Below are 19,527 nucleotides of genomic sequence, written 5' to 3' on the forward strand. Positions count from 1 at the left end.
TTATGCAGTCTAAGATATTTTGTTATAGCAGCCCAAGTAGACTAAGATAGAATATAATAATATTCTTGGCCAGGCGTGGTGACTCATACCTGTAATCCCAGCACTTTGGGAGGCCAAGATGGGTGGATCACCTGAGGTCACGAGTTCGAGACCAGCCTGACCAACATGATGAAACTCCGTCTCGACTAAATACAAAAAATTAGCTGGGCACGGTGGCTGGCCTCTGTAATCCCAGCTACTTAGGAGGTTGAGGCAGGAGAATCCCTTGAACCCGGGAGGTGGAGGTTGCAGTAGCTGAGCTTGCACCATTGCACTCCAGCCTGAGCAGTAAGAACGAGACTCTGTTTAAAAAAAAAAAAAAGATATATATATATTTCTTTTAACTTGTTTTAGAGCAGTGGTTCTCAACCTTTTTGGCACCAGGGACTGGTTTCATGGAAGAAACCTCCCCTCCACGGATGGGGAGGAGGTGGGTGGGGACGATTCAAGCTCATTACATTTATTGTATACTTTATTTCTATTATTATTACATTGTAATATATAATGAAATAATTATACAACTCACCATAATGTAGAATCAGTGGAAGCCCTGAGCTCGTTGTCGTGCAACTAGATGGTCTCATCTGGGGGTGATGGGAGACAGTGACACACAAAGTGTGTTGCGATCTCAAGCAGTTGATCCTATTCTAGCATGGACAAAGTCAGTTCACCTGGCTTAGTCACAAATGGGTTGTGGATCTATTCCTTTCCAGTTTGGGGATCTTTTGTGGTTGGGAAGTAATACTTCAACTCTTTTGAAAGCTGAGATAGGTGATCACGCACCAGCTGGGAGAAGGAAGGCCCTGGCTTAGTCTCTTTCAAAATCTCTGCTAATGTTTGAAACATTTCAGAAATCCCAATGTTCACTCATCGCCCTCATAGTTCCAGTTTGGCTTTGAATGCAGCCACTTTATCTGCTGACTTGAACACAGTTGTCATTCTCTCCCGAAATGACAGATTGAGTTTGTTGAGCAGGTTGAATATGTCACACAATTGAGCAGGTTTTTTTTTTTTTGTTTGTTTGTTTTTTGAGATGGAGTTTCGCTCTTGTTGCCCAGGCTGCAGTGCAGTGGTGTGATCTTGGCTCACTGCAACCTCTGCCTCCCAGGTTCAAGTGGTTCTTCTGTCTCAGCCTCCCAAGTAGCTGGGATTACAGGCACCCGCCACCACACCCAGCTAATTTTTGTATTTTTAGTAGAGACAGGGTTTCACCATGTTGGCCAGGTTGGTCTCGAACTCCTGACCTCAGGTGATCCACCCACCTTGGCCTCCCAAAGTGCTGGGATTCCAGGCGTGAGCCACCATGCCTGGCCAAGTGAGCAAGTTTTGTGACCCATTGTGTGTCACTGAAATATGCTGCCACTGGTGACTGTTTTTCTAAGAGAAATCTCTGGAGTGGTTCTTATAACTCAAAAACTCTGGCCAGGGATCTACCTTTAGAAAGCCATCTCACTTCTGTGTGTAAGAGAAGATGTGTGTGTTCTACATCCATCACCTCCCAGAGTTGCGTGAACAGGCGTGAGTTAAGGGCATGTACTTTAACGTGGTTGATAATTTTAATCACATCCTGCAAAACGTTGTTAAGTTCAGGTGACATTTTGCAGCTAGCCAGCATTTCTCTATGGATGATACACTGCATAGACTCAACATTCAAAAATGACCTCTTTGACCCAAGTAGTGAAACCAGAAAGCTGTCCAGTCATGGCAGTCACTCCATCCTTGCATATACCAACACAAAATGATCAGTTCAGTTTTCCTGATATGTATTCATTCAAAGACGTGAATAGTTCTGCAGCTGTGGTGTTGGTTGGCAACAGAAGTACATGTAACATATTTTCATGGATATCCTCCTGAAAAATATATCACACAAAAACAAGCACTGTTGCCTTGTTGTCAACATCGGTAGACTTGTCAATCTGGATTGCCTACCACGGTGACTCACTAATCCTCTCTAACGATTGTGCCTCAGGATCCTCTGCTATTTCCTCAATTCATCTAGTTATGGTGCTAGCCAAAAGAGGAACACATGCCACCCTTTGAACTGCAGCCTCTCTTGAAAGTTCATGACAGTTGTCCTTAACAGCAAACAGGATCACTCTTCACCAGTATTAAAGGGTTTCTCAGCTTTAGCAATGCCGTTAGCTACTAAGAATGATGCTCTCAGTGCAGACACATTTGATGAAGTGGTGGCCTTCAGTAATTGCTTCTGTACTTGATATTCACATTTTTTTCATTTAAAGAACTCCAAAGGCTTGTGTTTTAACGCAGGGCGCTTGGTCTCCATGTGGCGAAGCAGTGTTGAAGGTTTGATGGCTTCGTTTGATAGCTAGTCATCAAATATTGTACAAAGTGGCTTGGAGAATGTGAATCACCTGTTGCAATGAACTCATAATTTAAGTAGGACTCTTGGTATTTTAAGTGTAGATTTCTTTTTGTTGGCAGTCTTAGAGTCCCCTGCTGTTTCACCATTGGGTCTTTTCCTGTTTTCAAAGAAGCTCTCCAGTAATGTTTATTTTTTACTCATTTTTGCTAGAGTTAGCTTGTGGGCTTACCAAAACTGTGACTGAGACAAGTGCACAGTACAGGAAAGAGGCATAGATGGAAGTGGTAAATAAAATAATGATGGGCTACACATGGACTAAAATCAGTGTCAGATTCTGACTTAAAGCCTTCCACCAGATGCGGCTGTACCATTGATGTACATCAACTCACTGTCACTATAAAGCCTGCCACCAAATGTAGCTTAATTGTCACTTGCCACTTACTGATAGGGTTTTGATATGAGTCTGCAAGCAATTGATTTATTATGGTCTCTGTGCAGTCAAACCTCTCTGCTGATGTTAATCTCTATTTGCAGCCACTCACCAGCGCTAGCATTACCACCTCAGCTCCACCTCAGATCATCAGGCATTAGATTCTCATAAGGGGCACACAACCTAGATCCCTTGCATGCTCAGTTCACAGTAGGGTTCGTGCTCCCATGAGAATCTAATGCCGCTGCTGATCTGACAGGAGGTGGAGCTCAGGCAGTAATGTGAGCCATGGCGAACAGCTGTAAATACAGATGAAGCTTCGCTTGCGCTTGCTTGCCTGCTGCTCATCTCCTCCTGTGTGGTGGCCCAGTTCCTAACAGGAACCAGGGTATGGGGACCCCTGTTTTAGAGAATCAGTTTCAGGGTCCCAGTAATTTCCTTTTCCTCAAGTTTTCATACTACATTTTCAAGTTTTTCCAGGTGAGTATCGTCAGACTTACTGGTTTCTAGCTTCTGAAATCTACCCCTAACTACTTTATGAAAATCAGTACATTTTCCTTTTACAAGATCACTTTCAGAGGTTTTGTGAATAAATTCTTTCTTATCTCTTGTTCCAGTTTTCTCTTAATGTTTCCTTTCAAAATATATTTTGTTCACTAGGGTATTAGAAACTCGTATTTATGTATTACTTTGATGTGCATGATATACATTTTTCTCAGTGTTCCTCATAACAACTTTGTGAAATACACAAGGTTATAGATGAAGAAACTGAGGCTAAAATAGGTTGTGATTTGCTCAGTTAGAGACTAATCCAGTGGTTGATTTCTCAACCTCTCTTCTAATAGAAATCAAGTATTTCTGCTTTCTCTTCATCATTGGTTGTTTTCTTTTTTTTTTTGGGATGGAGTCTCACTCTTGCCCAGGCTGGAGTGCAGTGGCGTGATCTTGGCTCACTGCAACCTCCATCTCCCGGGTTCAGGTGATTCTCCTGCCTCAGCCTCCTGAGTAGCTGGGATTACAGGTGCGCACCACCATGCCTGGCTAAGTTTTATATTTTTAGTAGAGCTGGGGTTTTGCCGTGTTAGCCAGGCTGGTCTTGAATTTCCTGACCTCAGGTGATCTGCCCAGTCAGCCTCCCAAAGTGCTGGGATTACAGGCATGAGCCACCATGCCCAGCCCATTTGTTGTTGTTATACTCTTTTCCCCCAACCCTGAACCTCTCTGAGTTTCTTTCATGTTACTCTGTGTATAGCTTAAAACAAAACAATAACAAATAGAAAAAAACCTAACCCCACTTTTTTTTTCTTTGCCATTTTTCACTGACATCACCTCATTTTTGGCTTTAGTCTTCCTGATAACTGTTTTCTGGTTTTTTTTCTGGAGGCTTTTGGAGGCTCTTTAAGAGCTCAGCCTGGCTCTAGGACCAAGTCATTGTTAGACTGCCTCGTTTTTATTTATGGTATTCTGTATCTTGAAAACAAAGGACATGCTGAGTCTTTTCAAAGGAGCGTGGAATCCATGGAGCTGACTCTCATTGTTACTGCTGAAATAGTGACTGAATGTACCACCAGCCTGAGATTCATGAAATGTGCATTAAAATCGGTTTGGTATGTTAGGTGAAATGTAAAAACATCAGTGTGCTTTATCACCGATCTGTTTTTGTCTGGTGTAAGAAAAAATACGACAAGTATGGGATTGTTTATATGTCTTATAAAGCCAACACTGGAGTGTAAAAAATTGAGTGTTTGGGGATACACATTAAGTCAAAAAGAAACTAATGCTGCCTGCTTTGACTGTGTTTGGGTCAGAAATGGAGAAGTTGAAATTGACATGGCCATTTGCTGAAATATTTTGAGGTGTTCAGACTATAGTAGGAATGCAGTCATAATGACTGGATTTCAGAAATGACACTAGAAGTCATTTATCTATTTGCATCCTAGAACATCAACTTAATGTGTGTCCAGGAAGAAAATAAATGAAGACTGATTCATGAACTGACTGTACTATTTGTTAGAGCCAAGTATGTTTGTGGTGCATGAAAATCTTTATCAAGGAGCTTGGATTTTCATAACCAGTAAAGTTTTTGTTTTTTTTGAATGTCTTGTAATATATAAAATTATAGCTGGGATAAATGTAGTTTTTTTCACAAGGGAAAGATTAATGGTTTGGATTTGTCAAATTTTATAGCCTAGCTATTCATCATAAAATGAATCTGTAATACTTACTTTCCATTTTTTTTTTTTTGCTCACACACTACTTTGGATGATTTTAATTGTATAGTATTTAAAATTAATTTTTAGATCTTAGATGAGTTGACCAGAGACTAGTGATAATACCAAGTATGGAATAGTCTAGGGATAGAAAAGGATAGAATTTCATGATAACGCTATATAATGTGTGTGCCAAATTCAGCATATTGACCAGTGTTTTACAAAATGAGTTTTTCAGATCATCTATCTAAAAATCACCTGGAATGCTTGTTAAAAATTCGGATCCTTGGACCCTTCCTTCACCCATCTCTCACCAATCAGAATATCTGGGAGCTGCCTAGGAATTGCATTTAACAGGCACCCAGGTAATTTGGATATACATTAAAAGTCGAGATCTCCTGACATAGAACATTCAACATGTTATACGTATTGCTCACCTGTTTAAGATGATTAAATTATGAGATCTTTGAAGGCTGAGAGAGAACGAGGGTATCTGTTTTCAATTTATGAATTGAATGAATTTTTGGAGTTTTAAAAGCTAACACATAATTATAGCATTCATTTCATTTATTAGTTTCTCCTGAGGACGAAACTTGGCCTTGAATTTTATAATTCAGGGCTTTGAACATCTAATTTTTGTTTAACCAAAGTAGAAAGTACTGTAATGCTTCTAAAAACTACATTTACAGTTCCTGTTGCGCTAAGTAGATATAGATAAGCTACATGTTCAAACTTGCTTTGTGGTCCCCACTTCACTGTCCTCTCTCCTAGAGCTCTTCCAGATGTCAGGTTTTCTGAAATTGATCCTGAATTTAAAAATAGAGAAGTGACAGAAAAAAATGTGAGGTTTTAAATTTGATGTTGTATAAAAGGTAATATTTTTGTTTTTTCTGTCACCCAGGCGGAATGCAGTGGTACAGCCATGGCTCATTGCAGCCTCAACCTCCTGGGCTCAATTGATCCTCCTGCCTCAGCCTTCTGAGTAGCTGGGACTACAGGTGCACGCCATGATGCCCCACTGATTTTTGTATTTTTTGTAGAGATGGGGTTTTGTCATGTTGCCTAGGCTGGTCTTGAACTTCTGGGCTCAAGCGATCCTTCTGCCTCGGCCTTCCAAAGTGCTGGGATTATAGGCATGAGCCACCTTGCCTGGCCCAAAATGCACTATTAGTGACATACTTATCTATGACAGGATTTCCAAACTTTTTCCCACCCAAAGGAAATATCCAGAACCCCAGAAAATGAAAGTAGACCTGCTCTGGTTACATACCCCATGGGTGTTCCTGAGACATTTCCTAGGGACTCAGGGCTTTGGGCATAAAATTTGAAAATCACTGGAAGAAGTGGTAGCTAATTTTTATTAAATTTTATGTAGAGAGGATAGGAGAGAGTCTGAAGTTCTGTCAAAGCTGTTCAATCCTTAGAGTGGTAGTTCTCAGCCTAGGGGAATTTTGCCCTCCAGGGGACATTTGACAAAGTCTGCAGACATTTTTGGTTGTCACAACTGGAGTAGGGGGGTGGGGAGCCACTGGTATCTTGTGGGTGGAGCCCAGAGTACTGCTAAACATTTTAGAGTGCATGGTGCCCCTCATACCAAAGACTTATCCTGTCCCAAATATCAAGGGTAAGTACCTAGGCTGAGAAACTCTGCCTTAGAGAAATGTTTTCTAAAATATAATTTAGTTTGCAGTCCATATTCTCTGTAGATAAGAGTTTAGTGGACGGGAGGCAAATATTTTTATAAACGAGTAGCTTAGTAAGTTGTGGTTATTTTACCGTTAGTTTACTCTTTTATTAGGATGTTTATTTTGCAAAGATATTTTGATTAAACCTAAGTTTTCTTTCAACAGCTTTAGTAAGATTTTTAATAAGAAAATGTTATTTGTATTTTATGTATGATAACCTATTAGACCTATATGGTATGAGACAATAGCCTCTCTTTCAGAATTGCCCCGCCCTCCTTTGGGAGAGACTCTCTAATTTTATTACCAGCTTGTATCAGTTGATTTGGTTTTTTAAAAAAACACATTTTTTATCAGCTTTATTAAAATGGGTTAACTTTTAAAATGCCGCAGTATTTCAGTGGTAGAATTTCCTTTCTCCATAAGCTTTCTTTTCTATTAATTCAGCATCAAAGAAGTGTTATAGTGAGGTAAAAAACTTGAGTTTGAAAATGTTATATCTCATACTTAGAGAAATTATCTCCTATCCTTTTTAGGTTCTTACAAATTGGCAGAAATATCCTGGGAGAATTATTGCCCAAACATCAGTTAGAAAAAGTATGTTAAGGAAGTTCTGGTCACTTGAAATGCTTCCTTTAATCTTATTTCCTCTAGCAAATATGCAGCATTTTGGCCAATTTCTGTGGCATATGTATAGTAAATGTTTTACATTTCAGATCATTTTTGCTTTATATTTTAGGGGAAATTGAATTATCTGACTGGTGGTAGTTGCTGAGAATATATTTTACTACCTTATTTTAAGTTTCTTTCACTAAATTATTTCCTAGGTCTTTGGAATGGCATCTCTTCATATGCAACGTAGAATATATGCTTACTGTATTAGTCCACTTTGTGTTGCTGTGAAGGAATACCTGAGGCTGGGTAATTTATAAAGAGAAGAAGTTTAATTGTCTCAGAGTTCTTCAGGCTGTACAGGAAATGTGGTGCCGGCATCTGCTTCTGGTGAGGGCCTCAAAAAGCTTAAAATCATGGTGTTTTATTTTTTGCTACTGAAATTAACTTAATTATTTTTCAGAAGAATAACAGTATACTTTCCTGTATTCTGATAATCGATGTGATATTTTAAGTAGCTTACAATTACATTGACAAGGCTTCTGCTTTCTCACACTTAGTAGCTGGGACTGTCAAACAGATGCAGAACGAACAGGTGAATAATTTGTTTAGTTAGTTATTTTTCATTTCCTTTTCAACTAGATTGAAAAGTAGGGATATATAATCCTACATTTTAGACTAATTGCGTAAGACATCTTGAAGAATTAAAGAAGATATTCTAGAATAGCAGAGAGTTCATTTTTCATAAATTAGATGGTGACAGTGAGAGAAATTGTATTGTTGATATAGTACATATTTTTGGCCAATTGGCAGATACTTGGACACCTACCTAAGGAGCAAGGGCTGGTGCTAGGCATTGTAGGGATACAGATAGTTATAATAACTGATATTTTATAATGTTTACTATGTGCCAGACACTTTCTGGGTACTCAGAACTTACTACTTGTATAAATTTTACAGCAGTCATATGCTCTTACCTCTCTTGCAAATAAGAAAACTGAGACATAGGGAAGATAAGTATCTTGGACAAGGTCACAAAGCTGGTGGTGGAGTTTGGATTTGAAACCTGGTGATATGGCTGTGGAGCCTGTGTTATTATCTTGTAATCAGTAGCACGAAGCAGAAGACCTGGTTCCTGCCCTCAAATAGCCTGTTGTCTAGTTGCAGTGACAAGTCTCAAACACATGTAAAGATATATAATGTATATTTTTTAAGATTGTAGACAGTAAATAAATGCTGTAAGTAGAAATATTCATCTATTTATTTGCCTAGGTTGACTAGCAAGGCAATCCTGACTGGCATAATCAGGATTCTAGACTCTGGCCATATTGTTGTGTAATATTGAACATCTGGGATGGGCTGTGCACTGTGCATTTGCACCCTCCATGAGTAAGATTTAAAGAAACACCATTCTTTTAGTCATTACCTTTTAAAAAACACTTTTAACCATGTACAGGTAGTTATATTGAATAGTTTATTAAAATTGTCTCACTTATTTCTGAAATCTATTTAAATAAAAATGTGGGAAAGCTCAAGAGTGAGTACACTTTACAACCTGGCTGCCTTTTTCAGATTTCTACTTGCATTACTGTTTGGAAGTTGTTCTTCATATTCCATGGGAGATGATGGGGAGTGGAAAGATAAGAAGGGAGCAGTGACATTCATTCAATTCCTGTAAATGACTTTTATTAACATTGTTCTGATGCTTCAGGTTTGTGCTCAGAAACAGGGTGTGTCATTCATTACATAGCATGCTGTCATGTCCAGTCTGCTGCCTCATGACTTCTCTGAGTAAAACTGACTCAGTCAGTGGTTTGAGGCTTGGCCTTCAGCACAAGAGAAGCAAACACCCACTTATAGCAGCTAGATTAATACTGTCTTTCTTTCTGAAATACTTAAGGTAGGATTGCTGTCTAATTCTTTGTCCTTCATTTTGTAGCTTATTTCGCCTCAGTCATCTTGTGACCCACAAACTGTAGGTTGAGTTGACTCAACCTGTAATGATTAATATTTCCAGAATGTGTGGAATGTGTCACAGTATAGTGGCTTGAAGATAGAGACTTATCAAAGGTTATACCTGGTTTTTAAGTAGCATTCCTTCTAATATTTGTTATTACCCAGTACTTAATGATAGTATATTTATTAAGTTCAGTGTTTTCTCTTGGCTTCGAATTATTCTTGAGTTTTAGAGAAATACATAGCCTGTTAAAAATTAGGCAGCAGGAAAAAAAATATTTTCTATTCTGAAATAGAAGCGTTTAAAGGCACAAGGAAATGGTAATTGCAATCCTCTTTTTTCCTGTGAAAATAACAAGAACAGCAGTAACTCTTTCTTTGCCATTTTTCATAGTAAGTAATCATAATACATCATTCCTTTGTCATTGATAGTGTTTTCTCTGATTTTTAAAATTTCAGGGATAAATTATCTGGAAAGAGCCTGTCTTTTTTGAAACCCTGTATTTGAGAGAATTACCTGATAGAAACAAAACTCAAGGCTTACAGAGGAAATGGAGTGAACATTACATTTTATAACTTTGTTACTTTTAGGCTGGAGATACATTCCTCTAGTGGTGATCTTTAAAAGATCACCTTTAATATCTAGTATCTCCATACTTATTCTAGAATCTAGACTTTTCATACATGTGCTCCCATAGCCTATACATTTCCCCCTCAATCCCTGATCAGGAGAATTGTACATCATTTCAGTTGAATTTTGTCAGTGTTAATTTCTTTTTAAAGAATAGAAGTTTACTGTAAATGACTGGTAGAAAAAGACAGAGCCAGATAAAGAGCATTGCCTCTAAATATAAAAAATTAAGAAGAGGAAATGATTGCTCTGTAACTAAGTTACTAAAGCTATGGAAAACCAGTGGTGAAAAATTTCTCAATTTTCTGTGGAAGACATTTGATTTTGTGGAACAAAATTTGAAAGGGCCCTTAAAGATACTGTAGTTCAATTCTTTCATTTTCACCTAAGGTTCATCAACCCGGTTCTTCTGACTTCAATGAAGTGTTCTTTCTACATCACTACCCGAGTATTTATGATCTCTTTGGTGTCTAAAGAATTTCTTTCCTTTAAAACCTCAGAATTCAAAAAATTGATTCATAGAAAAAAATGCTTATGCATTTTGTGAACAAATGAAGTGCCTATCAATTTTTATTATTTGAAGTCAGATAAATAGGAGTTCTAACTCTGGTCATGCCATTTATTAACTGAATAACATAATACTTAATTTCTCTGTCTCAGTTCCCTGGTTTGTGATATGAAGGTAATAATAGAATTCTACTTGTTAGTTTGTTATGAGGATTAAATGAGTTACTCAGAATCTCACATTGGTGATGTTATAATAGAGAGAAGGAAATGATTTTGTTGTTTTTATTTGAAACAATAATACTCTGTACATCTTTTTTTGTTAAGTAACTTTATTGAGGTGTAATTTATGTACATAAAATTCATTCATTGTAATTGTACAATTCACTGATTATTAGTAAATTTATAAAGTCGTATAACCATCACTTCAATCCAGTTTTAGAACATTTCCATTATTCCCACAAATTCCTTTGTATCTGTTTGCAGTTAATTCCCACTCCCAGCCCTAGGCAACCACTGATCTGCTTTCTGATTCCCCTAAATGTGCCATTTCTGGACATTTCAATACATAGAATCATAAAATTTGTGGCTCTTTGTGACTGGGTTCTTTCACCATGGTGTTTTCAGGGTTCATCCATGTTGTAACGTGAATTAGTACTTCATTCTTTTTTTTGGCTGAATAAGATTCTATTGTATAGATATACCATACTTTGTTTATTCATTCATTCATTCATTCATTAGTAGATGGACATTTGGGTTGTTCGGCTATTATGAATAATGCTACTATGAACATTCATGTACAAGTTTTTATGTTAACATACATATGTTTTATATAGTATGAACATACGTATGTTTTATATGTTAAGGTACATAGGTTTCAGTTCTCTTTGGCATATACCTAGGACTGGAATGGCTGGGTCATATAGTCACTCTATGTTTAACCTTTTGAGGAAATGCCAAATTGTTTTCTATAGCAGCTGCACCATTCTGCATTTCCACTAGTATTGTATAAGGGCTCTGATTTCTCCATATCCTCCCCAACACTTATTTTTCTGTTACTTTTTTCATTTTCTAGTAGCCATCCTAATGTACGTAAAGTGGCATTTCATTGTGGTTTTAACTTGTATTTTTTGTGATTACTAATGATGTTGAACACCTTGTTATGTGCTTACTATATATTTGTATATTTTCTTTACTGAAGTGTCACTTCATATGTTTTGTCCATTTTAAAATTGGGCTGTCTGTCTGCTTAATGAATTGTATGAATTCTTTATATATTCTGAATAAAAGATCTTTATAAAGATAGGTGATTTTTATATGTTTTCTTTTAGTGTGTGGCCTGTTTATTTCTTGATGTCTTTTGGAGTATAAAAGTTTAAAATTTTGATGCAGTTCAGTTCGTCAGGTTTTTCTTTTACAATTGATGGTTTTAGTATCATATCTAAGAACTCAGCTTAATTGAAGGTCATGAACATTTTTTTTTTTGAAGAAATTTTATAGTTTAGTTTTAAAATTTAGACCCGTGATCCATTTAAGTTAATTTTTGTGTATGATTATGAGGTAAGAGCCCATAAGATTATTTTTTAGCCTGTGGATATCCAATTATCCTGACATCATTGTTAGAAAGATTTTCCTTTCCTCATTGAGTGCTCTTGGCATCTTTGTTGAAAAATAAATGTTTGATACATGTATGCACGTGAAAACATGTTTTTTTCTTTTTGACACTAGTACATTAAATTAGAATAATTAAAACACCAGGACTCATTGGCCAGATTTATATTTTAGAATTAACATAAGTGTTAGTATTACAGAGTTTCCCTTTTTATGATACACAGACATTTACATAATTAAGGAAAAGCTTCATTTCAAATATAGAACAGGTCTTTTCCGTAGTATATTCAAATTCAGCAGGGCAGTTTATAAAACAATTACTATATAGTGCATTTAAGATAATGTCTCAAACTTGATTTTTTTAAAGGCCAATTTCCATATCTGTTTCATTGTCACTCTGGGCCTGTGGTCATTGACTTCTACCCAAATTTTAACACAAGGAGATGTAATATGTGATTGACAATTGGCAGGTCATATGACTTTGGACTTTGGAGGTTGAAGGTTAAAAGAAAAATGTTTAATTAAGTTTCTTTTCTGTTTTATGTTAAGTTGCCCTGAAATATCCCCCTGGGCCACTGTATTTGTTTTGACATCTGATGTTTGAAGGAGCATGTTTTTCCCCCGTAGAAAATCTTACATAATCTCAACTATATCACCTCTGTGTGGGAGAGATAATTTATTCTTTTACTTATTATATATTGTGTACAAGTTAGTTCTTGAATGCGGTCTTGACTACAGTATATATTGAATAGTTTATCATACGGGAAATGTAAGGAAGCCATATGTAACGTCTAGTATCTTAGATTTAGTCCTGGTCTTTAGATGCTAACTTTAGGGGGAAACAAAATAAACAAACCTCTAGACTAAAGATTTGTTTTTTCTTCACCTTGTTTGGCAGATGTAATCAAATATTAATCTTGGTCTTCTGATTTGGCTTTTCCTGTCATATATTCCTTTCACTTAAAAAATAACATTTGTCGCCTGTAATCCCAGCACTTTGGGAGGCCAAGGCGGGCGGATCACGAGGTCAGGAGATCGAGACCATCCTGGCTAACACAGTGAAACCCCGTCTCTACTAAAAATACAAAAAATTAGCCGGGCGCGGTGGTGGGTGCCTGTAGTCCCAGCTACTCGGGAGGCTGAGGCAGGAGAATGGCGTGAACCCGGGAGGCGGAGCTTGCAGTGAGCCGAGATAGCACCACTGCAGTCCCAGCCTGGGTGAAAGAGCGAGACTCTGTCTCAAAAACAAACAAAAAAAAAACAAAAAAAACCAAAAAAAAACATGTGTTATTGTTAGGTTACGAGATTAATTCATGTTTTAAAATTCCAAATAATTAGAGTAAAACCCAGTAAGTGCCAAGACCCTTTTAAAGGCAAGCCTCTTAAATGGAAATATTTATTTATTTAGGTATAGACAGGGTTTCACTCTGTGGCCCAGACTGGACTGCAGTGGCACAATCATAGCTCACTGCAGTCTTGAACTCCCAGGCTCAAGTGATCCTCCTGCCTCAGCCTCCTGAGTAGCTGGCACTGTAGTCGTGCACTACCACGCCTGGATAATCTTTTTTTTTTTTTTTTTTTTTTTTTTGTGGAGACAGGGTACGTATTTGTTGCCGAGGCTGGTCTCAAACTCCTGGTCTCAAGCAGACCTCCTGCCTTGGCCTCCCAAAATGCTGAGATTACAGGTGTGAGCTACTGCACCCAGCTAGGATATATTTCAGTTCATTCTCTTCCCTGTTGGAAAGTATACACCAGACCTAATTTAACATTCTTTTAGTAACTCTTGCAAGGTGGTGGTGGTTTTTCCAAAAACCTGACACTTAGCTGAACATTCTTTTATCAACTATCTTATTTCCTTATCATGCACAAGTTAAATGTTAGACTGAGGAGTAGGTGAGTTATCCCCAAGGAAGTAAAATGATGTTAATTTTCTTGAGGTCACATGAATTGTGAGTAGCTGAATGCTACTGTGAATTCTGGGCAGCCCGACCACAGAGCCTGAACTCTTAAATATTATACTGTATTAACTTGACATGTTTATAAAAGTAACAATTACATGCTACCTGAATGCCCTCAGTAGTTTTGAACATGGTGCAACTGTTTATCCCTATACTAAAATTCCAATTAGGCTATTCTGTTTTGAGTCTTTGTAATCATGTTTTAGAATTTTTGTTTCCTTCCTCATTGTCAGGCATCTTTTCTTCCTCCCTTCCCCTCCTTCTTCCCTTCCCTCTTTCTCTTCCCTCTCTTCCCCCTTCTCTTTTTCCTTCTCTTAGAGTCTTGCTCTGCCACCCACACTGGAGTGTAGCCTCAAACTCCTGGGCTGTAGCCATCCTCCTACCTCAGCCTCCTGAGTAGCTGGGACTGCAAGTGTATACCACTATGCCTGGCTAATTTAAAAAATTTTAAATTTTTTTTTTTTTTGTAGAGACAGAGTCTCACTATGTTGCCAAGGCTGTTCTCGAGCTCTTGGGCTCAAGTGATTCTCCTGCCTTGGCCTCCCAAAGCGCTGGGATTATAGGTGTGAGCCACTGTGACTGGCCTCTTTTTCCTTAAAAAAATAATTTACTACTGTCAGTGTACCATACCTGTTACCTGTTTTCTTATTTCTTTCTGATCTTCTGTGGGCTTGAAGATCATATAAGCAAGCTTTTATGTTTGTAGTTTCTAATCTAGAAGTGAATAGGATCATATATGAGGAGAACATAAATCACCCAGTAATTTACCTGTAGTTATACAAAGTAGTTATTAGGTTGGTGCAAAAGTAATGGTGGTTTTGCAATTATGAATGACACCTTTTTAAAGTTGAGGAGAAATCTCTTTGGGTATTTAACTTGGAGGTAGAATTTGAATAGCAAGATGGATTTTATTTTTTCTAAGGTTTGGAGGATGTGTACCATAACTGATTTGTATGTCATTTTTGTTGTTTTGATTCACCTTTTACAATTCAGAATTTTTTTTTTTTTTTTTTTTGAGACGGAGTCTTGCTCTGTCACCCAGGTTGGAGTGCAGTGGTGTAATCTTGGCTTACTGCAACCTCTGCCTCCCGGGTTCAAGCGATTCTCCTGCCTCAACCTCCCAAGTAGCTGGGACCGCAGGTATGTGCCACCATACCTAGCTAATTTTTGTATTTTTAGTAGAGACAGAGTCCATGTCAGCCAGGCTGGTCTCAAACTTCTGACCTCAGGTGATCCACCCGCCTCGGCCTCCCAAAGTGCTGGGATTACAGGCGTGAGCCACTGTGCCCGGCCTACAATTCAGAAATTTAAATGATACTTTTAGAAGAGTTTGAGGCAGGGAAGTGAAATCCATTAATTAAGAGTGCAGTTTGGTATGTTTTAGAGCTCAATGCTTTGTCCTCTGTCATCCTTCTACTGCATCCCTTTCTTCGTTTCCTCACTTCAACTTTTTAGTAAACTTGTCTGAGGCATTAGCTTTACTCTTACGCATTTTGCTCCCCTGCCTTTTTGTTATAAATATTATCATGGCATGAAACAAAAAGCCTGTTATCTGCCTTTCCATGATCACTTTGGTGACACTGTTTCAGCCACAAGTAAACCTAGCAACTCTATGAATAGCAGGACAGACTTGAATGTGGTGTGTGTGCAAGGAAGTTATTTAACTTTCTTAATCTTAAATGCCACCAGAAAACATTCTGCTCCCTGTTACTTCTTTTTTTTTTTTTTTTAAATTACTTTGTTTTGCGGTAAGGAGTTGGGGAATGTGTGGTGGCAGGGAAGTAATGTAAGTTGCTTTATAACTCACTGTCTAACAAAGTTTTGAAAATTTGTCTGATATGTAATTAGGTACTTTAGGGTTATTAGGTTTTCATAAAAATTCTGGTTAGGGCTCTTGCCCTGCTCCCAATGAAAGCCTTTCCACAGGGCAAATATAAAAGAGAGAGTAGAGGGAATCCCCCTGAGGTTTAAATAAGTCAAACCAGTAAGTAATAGTGCTAAGTTTGTCAGTGCCTCTCTTTCTTACTGTACTTAACATCTAAAGGGCACCTCATTTATTTTCAGCTAATTATGTTCTTTATGAGTGACTGTCAAATCAGGGAAGGGTGTGACGATCATGTGGAGATACCTTTTCTAATTAATAGCTGCCTTGCTCCTCAAGATTCTGATGAATGTTGGGAAAGGAAAAAAGTTGAGGTGCAAACAATGTGAGAAATTTAATAATTGAGAGATACTTAAATTTTTTATCTATTGCTGTATAACAAACTACCCCTAAACTTAGCAGCTTAAAACAATGAACATTTATCTATTATCTCACATAGTTTTGTGCATCAGAAATTTAGGAGCCACTTAGCAGAGTTGTTCTGGCTCAGGGATTCTCATAACATTGTAGGCAAGATGTTGGCAAGGCTGAAGTCATCTGAAGGCCTCTTTGGGGTGGGAGGATGGCTATTGTCAGGAGACTTTACTTCCTCTCTGGCTTTTGGCAGGAAGCCTTAGTTGTTAATCATGTGGACCTCTCTGTAGAGCTGTTTGGGTAATCTCAGGACATGGCCTAGAGTGAGTAGTCCCAGCTACTTGGGAAGCTGAGGTGGGAGGATTGCTTGAGCCTGGAAGGTTGAGGCTGTAGTGAGCCGTGATCGTGGCATGGCACCCCAGCCTAGGTGGCAAAGTGAGACCCTATCTCAAAAAAAAAAAAAAAAAAAAAAGAAGGATTAGATGATGTTGAAGGTGAAGCCTGCTATAGGGGCAGGCAATCGACATCAGTTAATCTTTTTCGTATTCTAATTGCAGGAGACCGATGATTAACAGCAAAAACAATAGCCAACGCCATAGACATTTCAGCTGGTTCATTTTACACAATTCTGACTCTGCTCAGTGGGTGCCAAAACTGTTGCTCCCAGATCAATTGCAGACAAGAGCAGAGCTTTCACTGGAAATTTCAAACAGGTGGGATCAACATTCTGAAGGATTTCTTTGAAGAATTTTAACAATAAATGAACATGGTTTTACCAGTACATCCTGAAGACAAAGTACAATCAAATCACTGGCTACCAAGAGTTGGAAGTGAGAGCAGAAGCAGACTGATCAAGAACAAAGGTCATGGCAACACTTTTTTTGGGATACGCAAGGCATTTTGCTCGTTGACTTTTGGGAGGGCCAATGAATGCCAACATCTGCTTATTGTAAGAGTATTTTAAGAAAGTTAGCTAAAGCTTGAGCAGAAAAATGCCTAGGAAAGCTTCACCAGAGAGTCCTTCTCCACCATGATAGTGCTCTTGCTCATTCTTCTCATCAAACAAGGTCAATTTTGGGATAGTTTTGATGCACATTTATTAGGCATCCACCCTACAGTCCTGATTTGGCTCCTTCTGACTTTTTTATTTCTTAATCTTAAAACGTCTATAAAGCGTATCCATTTTTCTTCAGTTAAAAATGTAAAAAAGACTGCATTGACATGGTTAATGCAGGACCCTCAGTTCTTTAAGGATGGACTAAATATGTGTTATTATTGCCTACAGGTGTCTTGACCTTGATGGAGCTTATGTTGAGAAATAAAGTTTATACTTTCTATTTTCATCTAATTCCATTTTTTCCACAAACTTTTTGGAGTCCCCTTGTATTTCCAGAATACTTGTGAATGGCTTTTTCAAATTAATTTGGCCTAAATATTATCCCAATTTATTAACCTTAATTGGAGAATGTTGAAAATCTTGTCTCTTCATAAAAAAAAAAAAAAAAAAAAGCCATTTCCGAATACGTAGTAGCTGAATTCCTAAGGCTAAACTGAGAAATTCTGTAGTTTAACTACTTGATTTACCTATTATAGCAATTATATAAAGTATAGAAAAGAAATAGCATTTTACATATACTATTGTATTAGTCCATTTTCATGCTGCTGATAAAGACATACCTGAGACTGGGCAATTTACAAAATAAAGAGGTTTAATTGGACTTACAGTTCCATGTGGCTGGGGAAGCCTCACAATAATGGTGGAAGGCAAGGAGGAGCAAGTCCCATCTTACATGGATGGCAGTAGGCAAAGAGAGAATGAGGAGGATGCAAAAGTGGAAACCCCTGATAAAACCATCAGGTCTCATGAGACGTATTCACTAACACGAGAACAGTATGGGGAAACTGCCCCCATGATTCAGTTATCTCCCACCAGGTCCCTCCCACAACATGTGGGAATTATGGGAGTTCAATTCAAGATGAGATTTGGGTGGGGACACAGAGACAAACCATATCAACCGTATGAACTCTTTGGGTCTGTAGAATAAATAGCTATTGTTTTTTAAATCTAGCATGATCCCAGTTAGCTAGGATTGCTAATATAAAAGAAATAAAGATAGTGAATATGAAATTAATTATCCAGATTTTCAGTTCATAGATTTTTATGTAAACCACTGTCCTTTTGTAGCTCTGTATTTAATTAAGCATTTCCTTCTGGTAAGATAGTTTTCTTTCAAACAGAGAGGCAATATAATGTAGCAGAAAGATTGTAGGCTTGGAATTAGACCCATTTGGGCTTGAGTCTTTGCTTTACCTGTGGGACCGTGGACCAGCTGCTTAATCTTCATATCAAATCTATTTCCTCATCTAGAATAATAGTATCTAAGGTTTCTTGTGAAGATTAAAAGAAATTATGTGAAGGGTTTCCCAGTGTTTCTTAGATACTCTATTTTTTCCCTTAAAGGACTTGGCCAGGTGTGGTGGCTCATGCCTGTAGTCCCAGCACTTTGGGAGGCTGAGGCAGGAGGATCACTTGAGGTCAGGAGTTCGAGACCAGCCTGGCCAACATGGTGAAACCCTGTCTCTACCAAAAAATACGAAAATTACCGGGGCGTGGTGGCGGGTGCCAGTAATCTCAGCTACTCAGGAGGCTGAGACAGGATGATTCCTTGAACCTGTTGTGGGGAGGTTGCAGTGAGCCAAGATTGCGCCACTGTACTCCAGCCTAGGTGACAAAGTGAGACTCTGTCTCAAAAAAAAAAAAAAAAAAAAAAAAAAAAAAGATGAAAAGATAAGACAACCAGAAAAGAAAAGGTGTCCCTGATGAGATATATTTAAACTGAAACATAAAGGTCTAGTCCTATCCCTGCAGTGAGAATAATATGTTCAGAGCTTTAGAAGAAGAAAAGCTTGACAATTTTGAGAACTAATTGAAGGCTTTTATCCTTTAATTAGATGTAGTGGGGATAAGATTGGAAAGGTAAGTAGGAGCCAGATCTTAAGGGCCTCTGAGGTTGTGACATTTATTTGTATTTAATTTTTAATGTAGTTGAAACCATTGGAGAGTTTAAATCCACAAGGGCTATAATTCTGCTTTCCAAAATTTTGAGACAGTAAGCTGCAGTTAACTTCCGTGGAGGAATTTATTTTTCTCTTGTTATTCAGAGTCTTAGAATCTAATGTTTATTAGTTTCAGGATTTTATTCTTTTTTCAAAAGCCAGAGAATAAACTTGGGTAGAAGGGATCCATGTAGATCTATGATTCTTCTCAGTAAGAAACTTAAAAATAACTGCAGGGTCTGAGACAGAACTTTCCCTTCTCTGTTTTGCTTCTGCTC

At 37.9% G+C, this 19,527-nt stretch overlaps 1 protein-coding gene and 1 long non-coding RNA gene across 6 annotated transcripts in view; both read left to right on the plus strand.

Annotated features, from left to right (window-relative positions):
• The window catches only part of RASAL2 (RAS protein activator like 2), a 384,747-nt gene that overhangs the window by 23,712 nt on the left and 341,508 nt on the right, over nucleotides 1-19,527 (plus strand). The gene's annotated exons all lie outside the window — the stretch shown is intronic.
• Nucleotides 514-17,535, plus strand: LOC105371630 (uncharacterized). Of its 2 annotated transcripts, XR_007066745.1 has the most exons (4): nucleotides 514-5,367; nucleotides 5,904-6,000; nucleotides 7,512-7,686; nucleotides 16,750-17,535. It is a non-coding gene; the product is annotated as an uncharacterized LOC105371630 (long non-coding RNA). The 2 variants fall into 2 exon arrangements; XR_922307.2 differs by lacking the exon at nucleotides 5,904-6,000.

This window comes from Homo sapiens, chromosome 1, assembly GCF_000001405.40.
Source record: "Homo sapiens chromosome 1, GRCh38.p14 Primary Assembly".
NCBI classification, from domain to species: Eukaryota; Metazoa; Chordata; class Mammalia; order Primates; family Hominidae; genus Homo; species Homo sapiens.